Source organism: Homo sapiens, chromosome 11 (genome assembly GCF_000001405.40).
Source record: "Homo sapiens chromosome 11, GRCh38.p14 Primary Assembly".
Taxonomy (NCBI): Eukaryota; Metazoa; Chordata; class Mammalia; order Primates; family Hominidae; genus Homo; species Homo sapiens.
The window spans coordinates 123,097,410-123,121,397 of NC_000011.10; the positions used below are offsets into that span (position 1 = coordinate 123,097,410).

General features: G+C 44.8%; 1 protein-coding gene across 1 annotated transcript in view; it reads right to left on the minus strand.

The window, feature by feature from the left end:
- Window positions 1-23,988, minus strand: part of CLMP (CXADR like cell adhesion molecule) — a 125,377-nt gene that overhangs the window by 27,538 nt on the left and 73,851 nt on the right. Inside the window, exon 2 of the mRNA NM_024769.5 lies at window positions 386-543. Within this exon, the coding sequence (NP_079045.1) occupies window positions 386-543 (158 nt within the window). The remainder of the gene's footprint in view (window positions 1-385; window positions 544-23,988) is intronic.

The window sequence follows — 23,988 nt, forward strand, 5'->3', positions numbered from 1 at the left end:
TCACTGCAACCTCCACCTCTGGGGTTTAAGCAATTCTCCTGCCTCAGCCTCCCAAGTAGCTAGGTTTACAGGCATAGGCCACCACACCCGGCTATTATTAGTAGAGACAAGGTTTCACCATGTTGGCCAGGCTGGTCTCGAACTCCTGACCTCAGGTGATCCACCCACCTTGGCCTCCCAAAATGCTGAGATTATAGGTGTGAGCCACCACACCCAGCAATACTCTTTCTTCTCTATAGTTTTGTATCTAAAGTCTTTCAAGTAGAAGCCAGATGAAAAAGGAACTCCAGCTCTTTCAGAGCCAGAAAGAAAGACTGGAAGACTGAAGAAAGGCAAATGCAGGAGGACAAGAAGGAGGAGGGACTCCAGCCAGGTGTCTACTTACCACTTTTTGGTTCCCTTCATTATCGGTGAGCAGCCATTCAATATCCAGAGTGTCTTTTTCTGGAAGCCCCAGTTGATGGTGGCAGGGCAAAGTGACCTTTTCCTCTGCCACTCTCTTGATCTCAGTGTGAGTCCCCAAGGTTCCAACATAGTAGGAAACTGGAAGAGGAAAATCTTTAATGAGTAATGCAGAGACTGGATGGCAATGTGTGGGGAGCAAATATGACAACAAAGAATTATGGGATGTTCCCGTGGGCAAGTGCATGTGGAGGGGTTGCAAGAGTCCTAGACCAGGTGTACTAGAAGTCCTGGTCTCACACTGGCTCCTCCGTTAACTGAATTCATCACATCTTCTTTAACCACCCCAAATTACATCCTACTAGTGCCTGTCTTTCTTACCTTACTTGGTCTTTATGAACAATGAAATTGCTCATGTTAACTTTTTTTTTTTGAGATGGAGTTTTGCTCTTGTCGCCCAGGCTGGAGTGCAATGGCATGATCTCGGCTCACTGCAACCTCTGCCTCCTGAGTTCAAGTGATTCTCCTGCCTTAGCCTCGTGAGTAGCTGGAACTACAGGCGCATGCCACCACACCCAGCTAATTTTTGTATTTTTAGTAGAGACAGGGTTTCACCATGTTGGCCAGGCTGGTCTCGAACTCCTAACTTCAGGTGATCCACCCGCCTTGGTCTCCCAAAGTGCTGGTATTATAAGCATGAGCCACTGTGCCCGGCCTGTTTGTTTGTTTGTTTGTTTTTAGAGAGATTGAGTGTCTCTCTGATGACCAGGCTGGAGTTCAGTGGTGCAATCATGGCTCATTGCACCCTCGACCTCACCAATTCAAGAGATCCTCCCACCTCAGGCTCCAGAGAAGCTAAGACTATAGGCACATGCCACCATCCTGGCTAATTTTTTTTTTTTTTTTTTTTTTTGAGATAGAGTCTCGCTCTGTCACCCAGGCTGGAGTGCAGTGGTGCGATCTCGGCTCACTGCAACCTCCGTCCCCCAGGTTCAAGCGATTCTCGTGCCTCAGCCTCCCAAGTAGCTGGGATTACAGGCACGCTGTAATTTTTGTACTTTTTAGTAGAGACGGGGTTTCACCATCTTGGCCAGGCTAGTCTTGAACTCTTGACCTCACCATCCACCCTCCTCAGCCTCCCAAAGTGCTGGGATTGCAGGCGTGAGCCACCGCGTCCGGCCGTGCTGGCTAATTTTTTGTAGAGACAGGGTCTTGCTCTGTTATTATGCCAGGTCCCAGGTTACTTCTGGGCTGAAGCGATTCTCCAACCTTGGCCTCACAAAGTGCTAGAATTGCAGGCATGAGCCACCGTGCCTGGAAACAACTGTGTTTTTGATCTTTCTGTCTTCTATTAGCAGAGGCTTCCAAGAAGATGATACTCATGGAAACTGCACTAAGTTGCCCAGAAACTCATGTTCTTAAGTTATAGAGTCATAGTCATTTGAAGCTGGAGAAAACCTTAGAGATGAACCTTCTTACTTTCTTTAAGTCTAGTAACAGTTGTTGCTGACCAGTAGCATGTATTTAGAAGGATGAAAAGACAATTACACAAATACTGTAGTATAAAGGGAAATTATTTATGATCAAAGGGCTATGCAAATTTAGAGGAGAGAAATTATAGGCAATTAATTATAGGGTTCAGGAAAAGCTGAAATCCTTCCAGGGTTTTGTAAATATTAGAAACAGAGTATGTAAATCATCTAGCATAGTGTTTAGCACTGAGTGGCTCTGAATAAAAGGCAATTTATTTTATTATGGAGAAGGTGACATTTGATATGGAGCTTGGAAAATGGAATTCATGTGGATAGAATAGAGGAGGAGGAAAGGTGTTGAGATGTTGGGGGAGATGATGGGATCAAAAGCACAGGATGGGAGAGGCGGTGGGGGGCAGATATTCAGTGAATGGTAATAGTTCAGCTTGGCTGGTGTGAAGAAGAAATGTGGAAAAATAAAACAAATTATGCGGGAAAAGTGAAGCAGTTGATGGGATAAAAGTCCTTTCTTGCCGCAGTGAGCACAGTGACATGATCTCTTGCTTAAGGAAGAGATAATTTAGGAGTTGTGTGTTGAATGCACAGGAAAAGGGAAATATTGAGACATACATTTGTGAAAATGCTATTAGATTTTTCCAAGTAAGAGATACTGCTCTAGGATAGTGGTGAAGGCAGTAAAAAGCAAATGATGGATTTGCGAGGTAATGTGATAGTCAAAACTACGGAATATAGTAACTGACTGGATCTAAGAGGAGAAAGAAAAAGGATTCAAAAGCGAAGACTGGGCCCGGCACGGTGGCTCACGCCTGTAATCCCAGCACTTTGGGAGGCTGAGGAGGGCAGATCAACTGAGGTCAGGAGTTTGAGACCAGCCTGGCCAACCATGGCCAACATGGTGAAACCCCATCTCTACTAAAAATACAACATTTAGCTGGGCCTGTGTGTGGGTGCCTGTAATCCCAGCTACTCCAGAGGCTGAGGCTGGAGAATCGCTTGAACCCAGGAGGCAGAGGTTGCAGTGAGCCGAGATCGCACCATTGCACTCCAGCCTGGGTGACAGAGCGAGACTCCCTCTCAGAAAAAAAAAAAAAAACCAAAGATTGTTTTCAAGCTTGCATGACTGGTAGGATGGTGATCGCAGTAGCAGTGATGGGGAAGCCAGGAGTACGATGTGTTTTATTTGGGGGTGAGCTGGGGAGGGTAGGCACTGAGTTTAGATTCAAGTCCATTGTGATGCAGGCATCTGTCCAACAGGCATCCCTGTGTTCTTTCCCCAGGCGGCGCCTCCCTTTCCACTGCTGATGCTCACACAGCTCTGCAAATAGTGTCCACCCTCAGTTGTTGTGTTAGAGGAAGTCACAGCCCTGCTTTGCTTTATTTCTTTATTTTTCATTTCTCTTGTGCCTCTAAATGAAGCTCTTGGAAACACTTCTGTTCCATCCATTGTGCCTGGGCTAAACTGTCTCAGGTCCCTTAATTTCTCTGCTTTTTCCCAAAAACACTTTTTTTTTCCTCCCACTGAGACAGGAAGTCAGGGCTTGGCATCCTCCCCAAAACAGGCTTCAATACCAGGTCACGGGCTGGGTTCCAGGTTGCTCCTTAGAGCCTTCCTAGAGACAGGTTACTACCCTCCTCCCCCACCGCCTGCCCCCGACCTCTCTGTGAGTGCAGAAATACCTTGGGGAACAAGTGGGCTCTTACAAGGAGTTCCTGCCTCCCTTAGAGACACCTATTCTTGTATCCCCCCAAGTTCTATCTTCCATTCTCTGTAGTTTCCTGTCAGATGGTTTCAAAATATGAAACAGCCTTTTTCTTTTCTTTTGAGATGGAGTCTCGCTCTGTCACCCAGGCTGGAGTGCAGTGGCGCGATCTCAGCTCACTGCGACCTCTGCCTCCTGGGTTCAAGGCATTCTCCTGTCTCAGTCTCTGGAGTAGCTGGGATTATAGGCGTGTGCCACACCGGCTGATTTTTCTGTATTTTTAATAGAGACGGGGCTTCACCATGTTAGCCAGGCTGGTCTCAAACTTCTGACCTCAGGTGATCCGCCTGCCTCGGCCTCCCAAAGTGCTGGGATTACAGGCATGAGCCACCAAACCCGGCCTCCCTGTTTATTTTCTAATTCTCTAATTCCCTGTTTATTTACCAAAATTGATTAGCAGCCAATCTGTGGGAAGGAAAATGGCTTCCGGTATTCTTGCTTTCAGGGAAATGAGATGAAGAAGAATGGAGCAGGGGAGATTGTGCTTCATTCTGCAGCAAGGCTGCTTGGGCTGAGACTGCTGGGGAGGAGCCCTCAGAGGCATCTGAAACGGCCTTGGCAAGTGTTATATCAGTGGGAAAATTATAACAGTAAGCTAAACTAACCCTCCCTGGATCTTCCCTTTCCCTTAATTATTCCTGGGCTATTGGGCCAAGCTAACTTTGGAAGACATTTAGGTTACAGTTTAAATGATAACAGGCCTTGCCCAAAACTCAACCGCTTTTGCAAAGCTAATGGGAGGCCATCAGGCTGGGAAGGAGAGACTAAATCCTGGTAAGGCACAGGCATAAGCCATTGTCAGCCATTACTCCAAGGTTATAAGATATGCAACTTCCAGGCCGGGTGCGGTGGCTCATGCCTGTAATCCCAGCACTTTGGGAGGCCAGAGTGGGTGGACTGCTTGAGTCCAGGAGTTTTGAGACCAGCCTGGGCAACATGGCCAAACCCTATCTCCACTAAAAATGCAAAAATTAGCCAGGCATGGCGGCCCAGCCTGTAGTCCCAGCTACTTGGGGGGCTGAGGTGGGAGGATCACCTGAGCTTGGAAAGTCGAGGCTGTTGTGAGCCATGATTGCACCACTGCACTCCAGCATGGGTGACAGAGTAAGACCCTGTCTCTAAAAAAAAAAAATAAGATATGCAACTTCCCTAGTTATTCCTGCAAATAACACTATTGTAGAACCTAAGATTGGCCCTTTGAGCTATCTTTCCAGGTTTTTTTTTTTTTTTTTTTTGAGATGGAGTGTCTCTCTGTCGCCAGGCTGGAGTGCAGTGGCACAATCTTGGCTCAGTGCAACCTCCGACTCCCCGGTTCAAGTGATTCTCCTGCCTCAGCCTCCTGAGTAGCTGGGACTACAGGCATGTGCCACCACACCCAGCTAATTTTTGTATTTTTAGTAGAGACAGGGTTTCACCACGTTGGCCAAGATGGTCTCAATCTCCTGACCTCGTGATCCGCCCACCTCGGCCTCCCAAAGTGATGGGATTACAGGTGACAGCCACCGTGCCCAGCCAGGTTTTTTTTTTTTTTGAGATAGTCTTGCTCTGTCACCCAGGCTGGAGTGCAGTGGCTCGATCTCCTCTCACTGCAACCTCCGCCTCCCAGGTTCCAGTGATTCTCCTGCCTCAGCCTCCCGAGTAGCTTTTTTTTTTTTTTTTTTTTTGTATTTTTAGTAGAGACAGGATTTCACCATGTTGGTCAGGCTGGTCTCGAACTCTTGGCCTCAAGTGATCCACCCGCCTCAGCCTCCCAAAGTGCTGGAATTACAGGTGTGAGCTACCACGCCCAGCCTCCTCCTGCCCAATTTTATGTGGCTTCCAGGATGTCTGGTTCTCCCATTATCCTGTAAGCTCTTTGACATCAAGTACCATTCATTGCTGCCTTCTCATAGTACTCAGCCCAGGGTCTCACACTGCAGGTGTTCAATTAATATTTGTTGAATTTATCTGAGTGTAACCCACACGCTCATTTTTACCAATGAGCAAACTAAGACCCAGGGGTAAAAGAGACAGCCCAAGGTCCTACAACTCATTTAGCGGCAGAAATAACCCATATAATAACCCATCCTCCCAGAATTACTATAAAGCAGCTTTAGAATAGCTGGGAAATTCACTGGTTTGCACTGTACTAAGCTAAGCTTTGTTAAGAAGGAGCTTTGTAAGAAGGAGCTCTGGCTTAACCCTGATCACTTTCCACCGGACACAAAAATGCTCAAATGAAACCAGTGCCCTACATTCCAGGCAGAGCTAGAGAACCCAGCACCAATTTAGTGCATACAATAGATACTTAAACATTCAATAACAAATGCCAAGAGCCAGCTATGAAAGTTGCCAATTTAAGCCACTAGAGGGAATCAAAGGCTCAGATTCGTCTGATGTCCCCAAAAAACTGGAACATTGTGGCGGGTGGTGTGCTTTGACAGTCAGCCAAGTCCTATTTATACCATATCCAGAATTAAATACAGCAGTGCAGGGAGGAGCCCCTCTGTGAATACAAATGGCTTCATCAAGGCAGGGAGCCATGAGATCAGGGCGCATACACTTCTAGTCTTCCTTGAACTTCAGTTCGTTAGACTCCAGGAGGCCACTGAGATTTCTACAGATTTCTAAGGTCCTTCTCCTTCTGTCCCTTTTTTTTTCTTTCTTTCTTTCTTTTTTTTTACATTAAAGCTTTTACATTTTTTTACATTGCTCAAAGGGTCTTCTGTACTTTTTTTTCTTTTCTTTTTTAAACCCACCTAAGCAGAGAGGGGCCTGGGTTCTGTCTCTTTTTTTTTTTTTTTGAGACAGAGTGTCACTCTGTTGCCCAGGCTAGAGTGCAGTCGCGCAATCTCGGCTCACTGCAACCTCTGCCTCCCAGGTTAAAGTGATTGTTGTGCCTCAGCCTCCTGAGTAGCGGGGATTACAGGCATGCACCACCATGCCTGGCTAATTTTTGTATTTTTAGTAGAGACGGGATTTCACTGCGTTGGCCAAGCTGGTTTCAAACTCCTGACCTCAGGTGATCAGCCCGCCTCGGCCTCCCAAAGTGCTGGGATTACAGGCCTGAGCCACCATGCCTGGCTTTTTTTTTTTTTTTTTTTTTTTTTAATCCAGATTCTCCCTCTGTAGCCCAGGCTGGAGTGCAGTGCTGTGATCTCGGGTTCATGAGTAACTGGGATTACAGGGTTGCACCACCCACCGAGCTATTTTTTTTAGTAGAGATGGGGTTTCTCCATGTTGACCAGGCTGGTCTCAAACTCCTGGCCTCAAGTGATCTGCCCGCCTCAGCCTCCCAAAGTCTAGGATTACAGGCATGAGCCACCGCGCCCGGTCCTGGGTTCTATTTTTTTTTTCCCCAGACGGAGTCTCGCCCTGTTGCTCAGGCTGGAATGCAATGGCGTCATCTCAGCTCGCTGTAACCTCCGCCTCCCAGGTTCAAACGATTCTCCTGCCTCAGCCTTTCAAGTAGCTGGGATTACAGGCAGGCGCCACCATGCTCAGCTAATTTTTTGTATCTTTAGTAGAGACGGGGTTTCACCATGTTGGCCAGGCTCGTCTCGAATTCCTGACCCCTTATGATCCACCCGCCTCAGCCTCCCAAAGTGCTGGGATTACAGGTGTGAGCCACCGCGTCCGGCCTCTGTCTTTAACTCCAAGGCTTAGCAGTGCTCATGGGGGCTGCTGAGCTTGTCTGCCATCTGATGGGTGAGAGGAAAGGGGCAGTCTGACCATCCTGTGGCTAGCCTTGGATTGCGTGGGCACTGGAAGATTCATCTTTGTTAGGAAAGACTTTAGAGATCATCAGTTTAACTTATGAGGAGATTGCACCCCAGAGAATTGAGATGTCACGTCACAAAACTAATTAGTGGCAGAATTGCAAGTAAGGGAATAGTCTCTGCTAGGATTCTGTTGCAGCATTTACCTATGGGAAGAGGTGCTGAGTGGTGGCAGTGGTAAGGACTGCCTCCTTAGGCACAGGCAGAATGCCTTCAGGGAAGCCGCAAGCTCTCCCTAAGTGGGAGCTTTTGCATGCACCTCAGGCACTTATCAAAGGACCTCTGGGAGCTTGAGAAAATTACCTTCTGAGCCTTAGTGTTTCCATCCGCAAAATGGGAATTAAAGAAGACACTGAGGAAAGCAGCTAGCATTGTGAAAGCACATAGGAGTCTCCCATTAAAATGTTAGTTCTCTTCCCCTGCTCATCTCTGCTAGAAGGGACTTTTTCTCACATGACTGCTGCCTACACTCAATTAAGAGTAGTTTAAAGTTTTATCCTCTAAAAGGTATTTACATTTATTTCCTTCCCTTCCCTCCCTCCCTCCCTCCCTCCCTCCCTCCCTTCCTTCCTTCCTTCCTTCCTCTCTCTCTCTTTCTTTCTTCTTTTCTTTCTTTCTTTTTTTTTGAGATGGAGTCTTGCTCTGTCGCCCAGGCTGGAGTGCAGTGGCACAATCTTGGCTCACCACAACCTCCGCCTCCTGGGTTCAAGCGATTCTCCTGCCTCAGCCACGTGAATAGCTGGGATTACAGGCATGCGCCACCACACCTGGTTAATTTTGTATTTTTAGTAGAGACAGGGTTTTGCCACGTTTGTCAGGTTTGTCTCAAACTCCTGACCTCAGGTGATCTGCCTATCTTGGACTCCCAAAGTGCTGGGATTATAGGTGTGAGCCACTGTGCCAAGCCGTATTTACATTTTCTCATAGATTCTCCTGAACCTTAAGACCCCCTTCAAAGAGATGGGCAGGAGGAACTGTGGTTTTTGTTTGTTTGTTTTTTGTTTTTTTTTTTTTGAGACAATCTTGCTCTGTCACCCAGGCTGGAGTACAGTAGCGCAATCTCAGCTCACTGCAACCTCCGCCTCCCGGGTTCCAGCGATTCTTGTGCCTCAGCCTCCCGAGTAGCTGGGATTACAGGCCCACGCCACCACGCCTGGCTAATTTTTGTATTTTTAGTAGAGACGGGGTTTCACCATGTTGGCCAGGCTGGTCTCGAACTCCTGACCTCAGTGATCCACCCACCTCAGACTTCTGAAGTGCTGGAATTACAGCTGTGAGCCACCATGCCCTGCTATTATGAGATTTTATTGTGATTTTATTCTATTTTTTTTTTTAGCTCATCAGCTGTTGTTAGTGTATTTTATGTGTGGCCCAAGATAATTCTTCTTCTTCCAGTGTGGCTCAGGGAAGCAAAAAGATTGGACACTCTTGAACAGTTTATTAAATTTGTATGCCTTTTCTCCTATTAATCTGCCTCTTGTCAGTGCTTTTCAATGAACCTTCAGCGGGCAGACGGGAAGTTTTCCCTTCACCCCAGCTACATATATAATTCTGTAGGAGGTGTGTGTGTGTGTGTGTGTGTGTGTGTGTGTGTGTGTGTGTGCGCGCGCGCGCGCGCACGTGCCTGCCTTCCAGATTGTTTATGGAACACTGTATGCAGTTCAAGACACAGCATGATGCAATAGAAAGAGGATGAGCTTTGGAGTCTGAGAGGTCTGGACTTGAGTAGTGGCTGTAAGACCAATTAATTCCCTGATTGCTCCAAGTTGTTTACTTTTCCGTAAAAGGAAAATAAAAACATCAACTTTGGAAGTTATTGTAAGCATTACATATGATGCATGAAAGTGTCTAGCACTGGCGCATGGTATGTAGCACACACTCAGCAAATGGCAACTACTATTAATAATTGTACTTGTGGCTGGGTGCAGTGGCTCACGCCTGTAATCCCAGCACGTTGGGAGGTCGAGGTGGGCGGATCACGAGGTCAGGAGATCGAGACCATCCTGGCTAACACAGTGAAACCCCGTCTCTACTAAAAATACAAAAAATTAGCCCGGCGAGGTGGTGGGCGCCTGTAGTCCCAGCTACTCGGGAGGCTGAGGCAGGAGAATGGTGTGAACCCGGGAGGCGGAGCTTGCAGTGAGCCGGATTGAGCCACTGCACTCCAGCCTGGGCGACAGAGCGAGACTCCGTCTCAAAAAAAAAAAAAAATAATAATAATAATAATTGTACTTGCTGCATTTTTTTTTTTTGAGACAGGGTCTCAGATGCTCTTTCTGCCAGGCTGGAGTGCAGTGGCACAATCATAACTCACTGCAGCCTGAACTCCCTGGGCTCAAGTGATCCTCCCACCTCAGCCTCCCAAGTAGCTGGGACTATAGGCTTTCACCACCATGCCTGGCTAATGAAATTTTTTTTTTTTAATTTAGACGGAGTCTCACTCTGTCACCCAGGCTGGAGTGCAGTGGCGTGATCTCAGCTCACCGAAACCTCGGCCTCCTGGGTTCAAGCGATTCTCCTGCCTCAGCCTTGTGAATAGCTGGGATTATAGGCGCATGCCACCACATCTGGCAAATTTTCGTATTTTTAGTAGAGATGGGCTTTCACCGTGTTGGCCAGGCTGGTCTCAAAGTCCTGACCTCAGGTGATCCTCCCACTTCAGCCTCCCAAAGTGCTGGGATTACAGGTGCGAGCCACCGCACCTGACCTAAATTTTTTTTTTTTTTTTTTTCAGAAACAGGGTTTCACTATGTTGCCCAGGCTGGCCTCAGGCTCCTGAGCTCAAGCAGTCCTCCCGCCTCGGCCTCTGAAAGTGCTGGGATCACAGGCATGGGCCACCACCGTGTTGCATTTTGAAAGACAGGGAAAACCAGAAAACATACCACATGGACAAACCAGGATTGTGAAAAGTTTGGAAGTCATTTTGCTTCATCACTGTTAGCATTTGGCTATATTTGCTCGCTTTTGTGTGCTCTCTCCTATTTTTTTTTTGTTGTACCAGTTGAAATCAAGTTGTGGATGGCATGACACTAAGTCTAAATGTTGCAGTGCACATCTCCTAAAAATAAGCATGTTATTCCTCACAACAACAGCCATCTTAGCACACCTAAGAAAATTGATAATATTGTAGAGAAGGTCATTCCTGACGAGCAATTAAGGAAGACTGCAGTGAGTAAGGATGGAGGTAGTTCTGGAGAGACAGGCATGTTTTTACCACACAGAGGGAGGGAAAAGAATTCTAGACGGAGGGAGCACCTGGAAGCTAATGGCACCACCTGTCCTCTCCGATCAGCTCCCCCTAGCCTCCCTTGTCACGAACTAGTGAAGTTCCTCTGCCATTTGCTTTCCCAATCCCACACCCAGCCCAACCCCAGAACCTCTCCAGTCCACTCCTTTTATGAGAGTCTTCAGAAGAAGAAGACCATATTTACTATGAGCTGCTAAATCCCTGACATTTTACTGTCTTTTTAAATACAAACATATATTTGGTACTTAAACAGTTTAAAGCCTAAAGCCAAAGGAATGAAGCTTGCAAGTTATCAGTGGAATTTCAGACATCTGGGAGTCAATACAGTGCCTAGTTATCTCCTCCCACCCCTCCAAGGAGGATATTTGTTCCTAGAGTCCTTAATATTAGGGGTGTGGATACAAGGACCCAGGTGACAGCCTGAGCTTTGGGCTTCAGTCAGGGGGGCCGGATATTGAGCTTCTACCTCCTTCCCAGCCTGTGGGTTGGTTTTAGGGGAGGAGAAGGATGGGGAAAGGGAATGAGGGAAAAGGGAGAAGGTGAGGGAAAGGAAAGGAAGAGGAAGGGAAGTGGGGGATGGGAGAAGGAAAAAGGAGGAGAGTGGGAGGGAGGAGAATGAGGAAAAGGGAGAACCTGACACTGATGGAAGATAGTTGGAGAAGTTTTCAGATTAAACACAAACTGATTAAAAATGATCAACTTGGCTGGGCGCGGTGGCTCATGCCTGTAATCCCAGCACTTTGGGAGGCTGAGGCGGGCGGATCACCTGAGGTCGGGAGTTCGAGACCAGCCTGACTAGCATGGAGAAGGAGAAACCCTGTCTCTACTAAAAATACAAAATTAGCAGGTTGTGATGGCGCATGCCTATAATCCCAGCTACTTGGGAGGCTGAGGCAGGAGAATCGCTTAAACCCAGGAGGCGGAGGTTGCAGTGAGCCAAGATCACGCCATTGTACTCCAGCCTGGGCAACAAGAGTGAAACTCTGTCTCAAAAAAAAAAAAAAAAAAAAAGAAAGAAAGAAAAAAAATGGTTGAGTTGCCTCCCTTCCCCTCTGTGAAAAACTGTCTCAGTAGGAACTTTGCAAGTGTTTATCCACATTAAAAAACTGCACTGAGCTTTTCACCTATCAGGCAAGGATGGTGTTAAGAATACAAAGGTGATGATAGTCTCTCCTACTCCTTCAAATCCTTCAAAAGAGGATCGTTGACACCTGATATTAATTTAACAATGAACAATTAACTGATTCAACTGCATGATCTCATGTGAACCCGTGACTCAAATGTTATCATTTGTTATCGATCTGAGCCCGTGAGAGCCAATGTTATCAACTCTTTTAGAGAAGAGAAGACTGAGGATGACCACACAGCTAAGGCCACACTGCCGATATTCCATCACTAGTTTTTATTATTTTTCCTTCCCCACACCGAAGATGATTGTCTTTTCCTTGAAACCGGCAGATTGGAAACACAGAGATCATGTTTGTAAATGTGGATGGCACAGAGCTAGGTAGCAGAGCTAATCTGGTTGGACACACCTGAGGTACATAGTTATCCTGCTGGCTGGGATTCTGACCCAAAGCAAGAAGAAATTGAATGGAAGCAAATGTTAAAGTTTCAGTGAGACACAAGTCCAGGGTGGGAAAGACCTGGAGGACATGGGGAACCAAGAGATTTATTGACCACCAGTATGATGTGGCCGCATTTATAGAGGTTCGATGTTCCAAACACCGAGTAACATCTCCATTGTACTTTATACTAGCCAACCTAGCATATCCAGAGCAACTGTGTTCAGTTTTAGATGCTGAAAACTGGGAAGGACATTGACAAAAAGGGGCATTCGGGGAGTCATGACCGGCAAATGATAGGGTGAGAAAAATATATGAGGAACAGCTAATGCAGTTATAGGTGAACAAATTATGAAGATGGAAGACCAAGGGGCAGCATTGTAGCTACCTTCCATCATTTAAAAGGCCACAAAACAAGTAATAGGTTTACTGCATTTTGTTCCTTTGGTCAGAATTACGGAATCATTATGGTGCCTAGTTATTTCCTTCCATCCCTCCAAAGGGGATATTTCTTCCTGGAGTCCTTGAAATAAGTGGTGTTGCCCATGCGATGGCTCACGCCTGTAATCCCAGCACTTTGGGGGGCTGAGGTGGGCAGATCACAAGGTCAGGAGTTCGAGACCAGCCTGCCCAACATGGTGAAACCCCGTCTCTACTAAAAACACAAAAATTAGCCGGCCGTGTTGGCAGGCACTTGTAATTCCAGCTACTTGGGAGGCTGAGATGGGAGAATCGCTTGAACCCGAGAGGTGGAAGTTGCCATGAGCCCTGATTGTGTCACTGCACACCAGCCTGGGTGACAGAGCGAGACTCCGTCAGAAAAAAAAAAAAAAAATTAGCCAGGTGTGGTAACTCCTGCTTGTAATCCCAGCTACTAGGGAGGCTTAGACAGGAGAATTGCTGGAACTCAGGAAGTGCAGGCTGTAGCGAGCCAAGATCACAACACGGCACTCCAGCCTGAGCAACAGACCGAAACTTCTCAAAGAAAAAAAAATGGTGTTGGTACAAAGACCAAGGTGACAACCTGAGCTGCGGGCGTCAGTCAAGGGGGGCCGGATATTGAGCATCTACTTCCTTCCCAGTCTGTGGGTTAGTTTTAGAGGAGGAGAAAGATGGGGAAAAGGAGTGAGGGAAAAGGGAGAAGTTGAGGGAAAGGAAGGAAAGGGCTTATGCCATTTGGGCTTAATATGTTGACTGACTCTGTAACAGCGCTGTCTGATAAGAGAAAGAGCTCTACTGTTTAGTGAGTTTTCCATTACTGGAGTCATTCAAATGAGAGTGTGTGAGTAGCTGTAAAGGGGTCCTTATATGTGGATGTTAAACCCAATATTTAATGTCTTTTCTAACTATAATATTCTATGAACTACTAATAATTATGAGTGCTCAGTATATTCAAGGCCCTGTCTTAGTTGAATGTGATGCGAAATATAAAATACAAGTGTAAAATACTGTCGGTGTATTTTGTCACCATCAGTGAGCGCTTACACAATTTATACAAAAGGTCTAGTTTTGTGCCATTGTGTGTGTGGTTTTTGTGTGTGTGTGCCTCAGCTGGAGTGCAGTGGCACGATCTGGGCTCACTGCAACTTCTGCCTCCTGGGTTCAAGTGCCTCAGCCTTCCAAGTAGCTGGGATTACAGATGCACACCACCACACCCAGCTCATTTTTGTGTTTTTAGTAGAGACGGAGTTTCACCGTGTTGGCCTGGCTGGCATGGAACTCCTGACCTCAGGTGATCGGCCCACCGCAGCCTCCCAAAGTGCTGGGATTACAGGTGTGAGCCACCATGCCCGGCCATAGTTTTGTTCCATTATTAACATGACTTTTCAAGATTGTTGAAGGGACTTTTCAAGATTGTTGAAGCGCTTTTTCAAAGAACTGAAAAGAACTGGCCCATCCAACTACAGCATTTCTTTCCTTTCTGTTGCTCTTTTAATCCACAAGGGGGCAGAATTTACTTAGGGAGGATTAGCCAGGCCTCACCTTTAAGGTAGTTATTCTTAGTAACAAGGATTCTAATGGACAAAGAATGACAGACTACTTTGGATTTAAGCTTATAAGCACTTTGCTGCCATTTGTGGTTATGTGCTAAATTTCCAACCACGTGCATTGAATGTTCAAAGGCCCATGGAAAAAATGAAAATCTTAGAAAATACGGTTAGGCATTTGAGAGGAACTTTTCCCAGGAAATAGAAACGTACACTACTTTAATAACTTAAGATCACTGTTTTAACTTATTCCAACTGAAGCAGATGTTTACTTTGTTTGTCTAAGACCAAAAAAGACTTATTTATTTTTTTAGAGACGGTATTTCACCATGTTGGCCAGGTTGGTCTTGAACTCTGGGTCTCAAGTGATGCCCCTGGCTCGGAAAAAAACTTATTTTAATTGTGGAATTTATTATGAAACAAATCAATTCATCAGATGTGGTCAACTATGGCCTCTAGATAGTTAATAAGAAAAGGCAACGAGGAACGGAACACGTCTGCCCCAATGGCTTCAGGGAGATTAAGGAATTGGCAAAATAACTCTGAAGGCTCTTTCAAGCTTAAAGTTTAGTTTTTGTTCTAGGCCAGTAAATTACGAAACCCTGGAATGCTCTGACTATATGTAATGTAGAATCTCAAGCTTGGGCAGGCCCACAGAAGGTCATTTGGTCACTATCTTGCCTTCAGGCCAATTTCTTTCTTTCTTTTTCTTTTTCTTTTTTTTTTTTTTTTGAGACGGAGTTTTGCTCTTGTCGCCCAGGCTGGAGTGCAGTGGTGTGATCTCGGCTCACGGCAACCTCCGCCTCCAGGGTTGAAGTGATTCTCCTGCCTCAGCCTCCCAAGTAGCTGGGATTACAGGTGCCCGCTACCACGCTTGGCTAATTTTGTGTTTTCAGTAGAGATGGGGTTTCACTATGTTGGTTAGGCTGGTCCCGAACTCCTGACCTCAGGTGAGCCCCCCCACCTCGGCCTCCCAAAGTGCTGGGATCGCAGGCGTGAGCCGCTGTGCTCGGCCATCTGCAGGCCAATTTCATATTTAAAACTAGGCAGCTGAAATGTATCAAGTTATTTACATTCTCTTATTGTCACTGGGGATCTGAAATCACGGCAAAACGGTTCCAAGATCTTGACAGGTCTGTTAGTACCCATTTTTTTTTTTTTTTTTTTTTGAGACGAAGTCTCGCTCTGTCACCCAGGCTGGAGTGCAGTGGCGCAATCTTGGCTCACTGCAAGCTCCGCCTCCCGGGTTCACGCCATTCTCCTGCCTCAGCCTCCTGCATAGCTGGGACTACAGGTGCCCGCCACCACGCCCTGCTAATTTTTTGTATTTTTAGTAGAGACGGGGTTTCACCGTGTTAGGCAGGATGGTCTCGATCTCCTGACCTTGTGATCTGCCCTCCTCGACCTCCCAAAGTACTGGGATTACAGGCGTGAGCCACCACACTCACCCAGTACCCAATTTTTAATTATTGTATATCATAACATATTCAAGGATACTGATGCTACAACATTTTCTTAAACACCCCTTATGCTTCCAGTTGTGGGTACCACAAATTAGCAGGTACATTGACAAAATAATTGGCACCCAGAGGTGAGTAACCTGGAGTGCATATTTGTTCAATAAATGTGAGCAGCACCTGTTACCATTCTAGGTGCTGCCAGGGATACAGAAATGAATGACATTGTCTTTTGTGTATCAAGAGATCACAATCAAATAGAGACACAAAACAGGCACCCAGTTCAAGGCAGTGTACGATCGTCAGTATTGTGTAAGAGTCAAACTGTTTTAGGAATTTAGTGGAGGAAGATCACTAATGTGATCAGGGATGGCTTCATAGTAAAAGAAATGTTTATCCCAGACCTTGAAGAGTACGTTAGAATTTTAGCAGCTATACCTGGCAGGCGATGACCTTCCAGACTGAATGGCAGCCTTAGTGATTAGCAAACCAGTTGCCAAGCTGACTTCTGCGTTTGGCAGATCGGAACATCACTGTGGACCCTTCGTCCTGATAGGTTCTCAAAGTCTGGTGGTGGGAAGGAGGATGGTCAGTAATAAAACATACTGTGCCTGGAAGCTGCACTGCTATTCTACAGACTGGGGGTTGACTATTTGGGAGTAATGTTTTGTGTTGATTTCTCCAGTAATAATTGTCAGGATAAGGATAACAATCTGGTCCACAAAGATCACTCCACCATTCAGAAATACAGCAGGTACCTCTCTGAATTCTGTCCTTGATAATATGCTATTTATGGTTCCATGCATGTATTCATGTTTACACATGCAGAAACACACACACACAACTGCTTGAACACCCTGGCAAGAATGCCTGTGCCAGTACACAGATCAGGCAAGAATGTATGCTTTTGATTCCGAGACTCTCAGAGATCCAGATCTCATGCTAACCTATTTCATTGACATGTCTATTTATAGTCGCTGTCTCGTTCCAAATGTGAAGTCGCTTTCTAAATCTAAATCTTTTATTACCTTCGTCAGAGAGATTCGAACAGAGGCAGAGGGGGCGGGAATTAAAAATAGACACAGACTTACTATGAAAAAGAAAATAATCGATTGTTAGGGATCCATGGCCAGGAAGAATTGAGATTATGTTGATAATTAAAATCCACTGACAAATCCTCAATTCAGCCTTTAGTTTTATCCTGCCCCTTCCACTTTCCTATCAAAGCTAATAACGAAGAGAGAAGATGACTGGTTTGAACTTCATCCCTGCTCCTCTCATTCACTCTCCCTAAGGAGGGGCAGAAGAGCCATGAAACAAAGAATTGAAGGAGCTGCATTTTCTTTCCCTCCCTCCCTCCCTCCCTCCCTCTCTCCCTCCCTTCCTTCCTTCCTTTTTTTTTTTTTGAGATGGGGGAGTCTCACTGTGTTGCCCAGGCTGGTCTTGAACTCCTAGGCTCAAGCAATTCTTCCTCCTTGGCCTTCCAAAGGGCAAGGATTACAGGCGTGAGACACCACTCCCAGCCCTGCATTTTCTACTCACAGGAAAATCATGTCCTACATGATAAAAATCACAGATAGTACAAATTTGGCAACCTATAATTTTTAAAACCCCCAAATGTAACACTTCTTAATAATAGTAATTTTTGAGGACTTATTATGTGCAAAGCATTGGTACTTGATTTATATTCATTTCCATTTCTTCATCTTCTCAATAATCTTGTGAAGTAAGCACTATTATCTTCATTCTACAGACAGATACTGAAATGCAGAAAGATTAACTTGCCCAAGATCGCACAGATTACGAGGAATTGAGCCACTATTCTAATCCAGCCATTTAACTCTAAGACCTATACCCTGAACAGTATATTGGACTGCTACCCAGTATAGGTAGCTAACACAAATTTTTTGCTCTGGATTCCCCTTAAAGCTTTCACCTTCATGTTTTCTACTCTTGGTCATCTACAAAAAAGTATATATTGAGACAGGGTCTCGCTCTGTTGCCCAGGCTGAAGTGCAGTGGTGTGATCATAGCTCACTGCAGCCTGAATCTCCTAGGCTCAAGCGATCCTCCTGCCTCAGCCTCCTGAGCATCTGGAACTACAAGTGTGCACCAGCACACCTGGCTAATTTAAATTTTTTTTTTTTTGGTAGAGACAAGGTCTTGCTGTGTTGCCCAGGCTGGTCTCCAACTCCTGGGCTCAAGCGATCCTCTTTTCTAGGCTCTCAAAGTGCTGGGATTACAGGTGTGAGCCACTGCACCTGGCCTAGAAATGTTTTTCAATTTATTTTTCTTTACTTAGACTCCCATTTTTTACATATATATAAACTCACAGTCTTCTTTACTGTTATTTGGAATAGATTAAATATTATGATTCAACAATGGCATTTTAGAGTAGGCTTTCAGAAACTACATGTCATTAATGTAATGCTGATCAGAAACAAGTAGACACAAAAGAGTACATTCTATAGGATTCCATTCTATATGATTCCAGGGTACAGAAACAGAAAAAAAAAATCTGTGCTGTTAGAAGTCTAGGTAGTGGTTACTCCTGGAGTAAGCAGTAGTGAATATAAGGGAACATGGTGGGGCCTTCCAAGGTGCCGGTTCTATTTCTTGATTTGGGTGCTTGTTACTTGGGTGTGACCATTTCACGAAATTTGTTGAGCTCTTTATGATGGCTGTGTTCTTCTGTATGTATATTATATTTTATATTATCTATTGCTGCATACCAAATTGTCCCAGAACTTAGCAGCTCGAAACAATAAACGTGTTATCTCATAGTTTCTGTGGGTCAGGAATCTGAGCATGGCTTAGCTGGGTGGCTCTGACTCAGGGTCTCTCATGAAATACAAACTGTTGGATGGGGTTGTAGTCTCATCTGAAGGCTCGCATGAGGTGGAGGGAGATTTACTTCTAAACTCACTCATGAGGTTGTTAGCAGCTTTCAATCCTCACCATATGGACCTCTCCACAGGGCTGCCTCACCACACGGCAGCTGGCTTCCCCCAGGGTAGGTGATGCAAAAAAGAGCACAAGATGAGACGTCTCAGAGGAGACGTCTAATCTCTGCTGCCGTATTCTACTTGTTATAAGCAATTCAATAATTCCAGCCCACACTCAAGAAGAGAGGAATATTAAGAGGCAGGAATCATTAGGTGCAATCTTAAAGGCTGCCTACCACACACTTTAATAAAGCCTTAAAGGCCTGGCATGGTGGCTCACGCCTGTAATCCCAGCACTCTGGGATGCCGAGACAGGCGGATCACCTGAGATCAGTAGTTCGAGAGCAGCCTGGCCAACATGATGAAACCCTGTGTATACTAAAAGTACAAAAAATTAGCCAGGCATGGTGGCAGGCACCTGTAATCCCAGCTACTCAGGAGACTGAGGCAGGAGAATCGCTTGAACCCAGGAGGTGGAGGTCACATTGAGCCGAGATCACACCACTGCATGCCAGCCTGGGCAATAAGAGTGAAACTCCATCTCAAAAATAAATAAATAAATAAAGCCTTAAAAATTATCCATATGTGTCCTCTGCCTCCCCACTCACAATAACAATCATTGTCTTCTTATAGAATTAAAAATGCTTTCACAATTCACTAGATTTTTGGCAACCACAACATCTCGTAAGAGTAGGTTATGACATGAATTCTTCTTTCTGTTTTACAGAAATGTAATAAGCTTGATATGACCACTTTTATGTTTGCAAAGCACTTTTCAGATTTCACAATTCTTTTTCATACATATTTTGAGTTTTATTATGCAGAATAAGTGAGAATTGTAGTTTAGTGTTATTTCCCTATGACAAATTCCAGGAAAATATATTATCAGGGTGGCATGAACAACGTTATAGTTTATATTATTTATAGAGGATAAAAGGTCTCAGCCAGGCATGGTAACTCACACCTGTAATCCCAGCACTTTGGGAGGCCAAGGCGAGTGGATCACCTGAGGTTAGGAGTTCGAGACCAGCCTGGCCAACATGGTGAAACACCATCTCTACTAAAAATACAAAAATTAGCCAGGAGTGGTGGCGGGTGCCACCCTGAATACTCTGAAATACTAATTTCACAGTATTATCTGATAATACTCTGAAAATTGTAAAATGCATATAATATACCAGTCACTGTGCACTAAGGGATATAAATATATATGTATATATATAATTTCATTTAATCAGAACAATCCTACAAAGCAAAATTTTGCCTCATTTTACAGAGTAAAACCTGAGACTTAGAAAGGCCTATTTGCTAAGATCTAAGAGATAATAATTGGTAGAGCCAAAATTTCAACTAAGTTTGACTTGAGACCTTTTATCTTTTTTAAAAAATTTTTTATTTTTTATTTTTTATTATTATTTTTTAGCCAGAGTGTTGCCCTGCTGCCCAGGCTGGAGTGCAGTGGTACGATCTCAGCTCACTGCAGCCTCTGCCTCCTGAGTTCAAGCAATTCTCCTGCTTCAGCCTCCCAAGTAGCTGGGATTACAGGCACTCGCCACCATGCCTGGCTAATTTTTGTATTTTTAGTAGAGATGGGGTTTCACCATGTTGGCCAGGCTGGTCTCGAACTCCTAACCTCAGGTGATCCACTCGCCTTGGCCTCCCAAAGCACTGGGATTACAGGCGTGAGCCACCATGCCTGGCTGAGACCTTTCATCCGCTATAAATACAATAAACTATAATGCTGTGCGTGCCACCCTGATAATAAATTTTCCTGTAATTTGTCATAGGGCAATTTTTACAAAAGCTGTACCATCCTGATCTTAGCAGGAAAAAAGGAATTATCTTCAAAGAGTATGGCAGGTAGAATATGAAAGGCAGTAATTCACTCTCTTTATGGCATTTGTGTACAGCACTAAAGAATGTGGCGGTCTTCCTCCAAGACACTGATGCTACTCACCTATGATCACTGGGGAGAAATCTTTGGAATATATTCTTATGAATGTGTTCATGGAAAGCTGACCATATGCATCATACCATTCATTTAATATACACTTTTTAAGTGGCTTTAAAACAACCAGTGTATAGGTTCGCAAAGACTGCAATAAACTTTTTTTTCTTTTTTTGAGATGGAGTCTCTCTCTGTTGCCCAGGCTGGAGTGCAGTAGCACAATCTTGGCTCACTGCAACCTCTGCCTCCGGAGTTCAAGCGATTCTCCTGTCTCAGCCTCCCAAGTAGCTGGGATTATAGGCATGCACCACCATGCCTGGCTAATTTTTCTTTTGTATTTTTAATAGAGACAAGGTTTCAACATGTTGGCCAGGCTAGTCTCGAACTCCTGACCTCAGGTGATCTTCCTGCCTTGGCCTCCCAAAGTGCTGGGATTACAGGCATAAGCCACCAAGCCCAGCCAAGACTGCAATAAACTTTAATCTGCTTCTTACATCAAATGTGTGAGCAGAACTATAATCAAACTTAGCTCATGCTTGACAAAGAAAATATTGGAGCTTCTTTTCTGCCAGAGACAGATCAGGGCAATTAAAAACCTGGACCTCGATCTGTATGCAACTAAATGATGGTATGCAGATAAATGGACTAACCCAGACTTCCACTTTTCTCATTAAAGTGGCAAGAATAGACCTGGCATTGCAATTTGGCTCCGACACCCAGTTTATATCCCAGCAGAAAATGTCGCGTCTCAGCAAGGGAGGATTTGTAATGCCAAGTCATTTCCCCTGACTTTACTTTCTTCCTGTCCTTCCCTCACACCCAAATGACTCAAATGGCTGCCTCACACTCACGTACTCATTCATTCACTCATGTATTTACTCAAATGACCTAACTATGAGTCTTGAGTTTGTCTTGCCAGGGGATTGTCTTCCAGGTGATCTTTGCATTTTCTTTTCTTTTCTTTCTTTCTTTCTTTCTTTCTTTCTTTCTTTCTTTCTTTCTTTCTTTCTTTCTTTCTTTCTTTCTTTCTCTCTCTCTCTCTCTCTCTCTCTCTCTCTCTCTCTCTCTCTCTCCCTCTCCCTCTCTCTCTCTCTCTCTCTCTCTCTCTCTCTCTCTCTTTCTTTTTTTGAGATGGAGTTTCACTCTTGTTGCCCAGGCTGGAGTGCAATGGCATGATCTTGGCTCACCACAACCTCCACCTCCCGGGATCAAGCGATTCCCCTGCCTCAGCCTCCCGAGTAGCTGGAATTACAGGCACGCGCCACCACACCCAGCTAATTTTGTATTTTTAGTAGAGAGGGGGTTTCTCCATGTTGGTCAGACTGGTCTCAAACTCCCGACCTCAGGTGATCCGCCTGCCTCGGCCTCCCAAAGTGCTGGGATTACAGGCATTATTCACCATGCCCGGCTGATCTTTGCGTTTTCATCAGAGCATCAAACCAGTTCTGGCTGACTGCCTTTCCTGTAGACCTGGTGTGCTTACAGGGGTAACGAAGAACAAGAAATCACCCAAGTACTTTAATATCTAAGATGGGCAGTTCACAAATCTAATTAATTATTAGCATCCCTTAAAAAGCTTTTTCGAATAACGTAATGTAAGCATATGGTAAACATTCAAACAGAACAAAATAGTATACAGTGAAAAGTAAGTCTGTCTCACAGTGACCCTCAGTTTTCCTCCTACCAGTTCATATGCATTTTATGTCTCACATTATTTTGTTGTTTTTTTTTTGAGACTGAGTCTGGCTTTGTTGCTCAGACTGGAGTACAGCGGTGCAATGTCTGCTCACAGCAATCTCTGCCTCCTGGATTCAAGCGATTCTCCTGTCTCAGCCTCCCCAGTAGTTGGGATTAGAGGCACACGCCACCAAGCCCAGCTAATTTTTGTATTTTTATTAGAGACAAGGTTTCACCATGTTGGCTAGGCTGGTCTCGAACTCCTGACCTCAGGTGATCCACCCACTCTGGCCTCCCAAACTGCTGGAATTACAGGTGTGAGCCACCGCGCCTGGCATAGGGTCTTATCTTTATTCCTGGAGTTGTAAAATTTTACTATGATGGGTTTTGGTATAAGACTTTTTCCCATTCACTTATTTTGATGTGCCTTTTAATCTAAAGACTCATTTAAATGTCAGGAAATGTTGTTGTACTATTTAAAAATAATTCTGCTGAGTTCAGTGACTCAAGCCTCTAATCCCAGTGCTTTGGGAGGCAAAGGTGTAAGGATTGCTTGAGCCCAGGAGATTGAGACCAACCTGGGCAACACAGTGAGACCCCATCTCCACAAAAATATAAAAGTAATACTAAATAAAAATACAAATAATTCATGTCATTTTCCCTTCTTTTTCATACACCCATCTTTCAGATGTTGGACCTCCTGGATTGATCCTCTATTTTTTTTTAGATCTTTTCTCTCATGTTGTTTGGTTGAGTTGTTCCAAGAGTTTGTCAAGAGATCTCTTGGATGGCATTATAAGATAATTGTTAAAATCAGCAATTCAAATACCAGAAAAATTATTTTCTAGTTCTACAAGCTTGGGCAAGTTCTTTATCCTCTCTTAGTTTTCTTGTCTATAAAATGGAGGAAATAATTGTATTCAATTATTTGATGATTAAATGATGATTATTAAAGCATGTTATGAGAATCGAGTTAGTTTTAATACATGTCTGAAACATAGTAAATGTTCAATAAATTTTGCTATTATTGTTGTTATTATTATCCTATTCTTGTTTGATGGATACAGTGTCTTCCATTATGTCTCTCAGGATATTAATCACAGGGTTCCTTGCATAGTCTTTGTTTCTATTCGCTTTTCTCTTACTTTTCTCAAACGTCTCATGTTATATTCAGAGATACTAAAAAGCTGTTTGGGGCCGGGCGCGGTGGCTCACGCTTGTAATCCCAGCACTTTGGGAGGCCGAGGTGGGAGGATCACGAGGTCAGGAGATCGAGACCATCCTTGGTAACATGGTGAAACCCCCTCTCTACTAAAACTACAAAAAATTAGCTGGGCATGGTGTGGCAGGAGCCTGTAGTCCCAGCTACTTGGGAGGCTGAGGCAGGAGAATGACATGAATCTGGAGGTGAAGCTTGCAGTGAGCCAAGATCCCGCCACTGCACTCCAGCCTGGGCGACAGAGCGAGACTCCGTCTCAAAAAAAAAAAAAAAAAAAAGCTGTTTGGATATGCTGAGAATGAGCAGGACTTGTACAGTGGGCTTCTTTGTAGGCTGTTTGATTGTGGGATTCCCAACGTCAGTGTCTGTAGGCCTTTTTTCTGAAGCTGTTGAATTACTCCAGAGAAAAATTCTTGTTTTTGTTTTGTTTTGTTTTGTTTTGTTTTTGAGATGGTGTCTCGTTCTGTCGTCCAGGCTAGAGTGCAGTGGCACAATCTCGGGTCACTGCAATCTCCACCTCCCAGGTTCA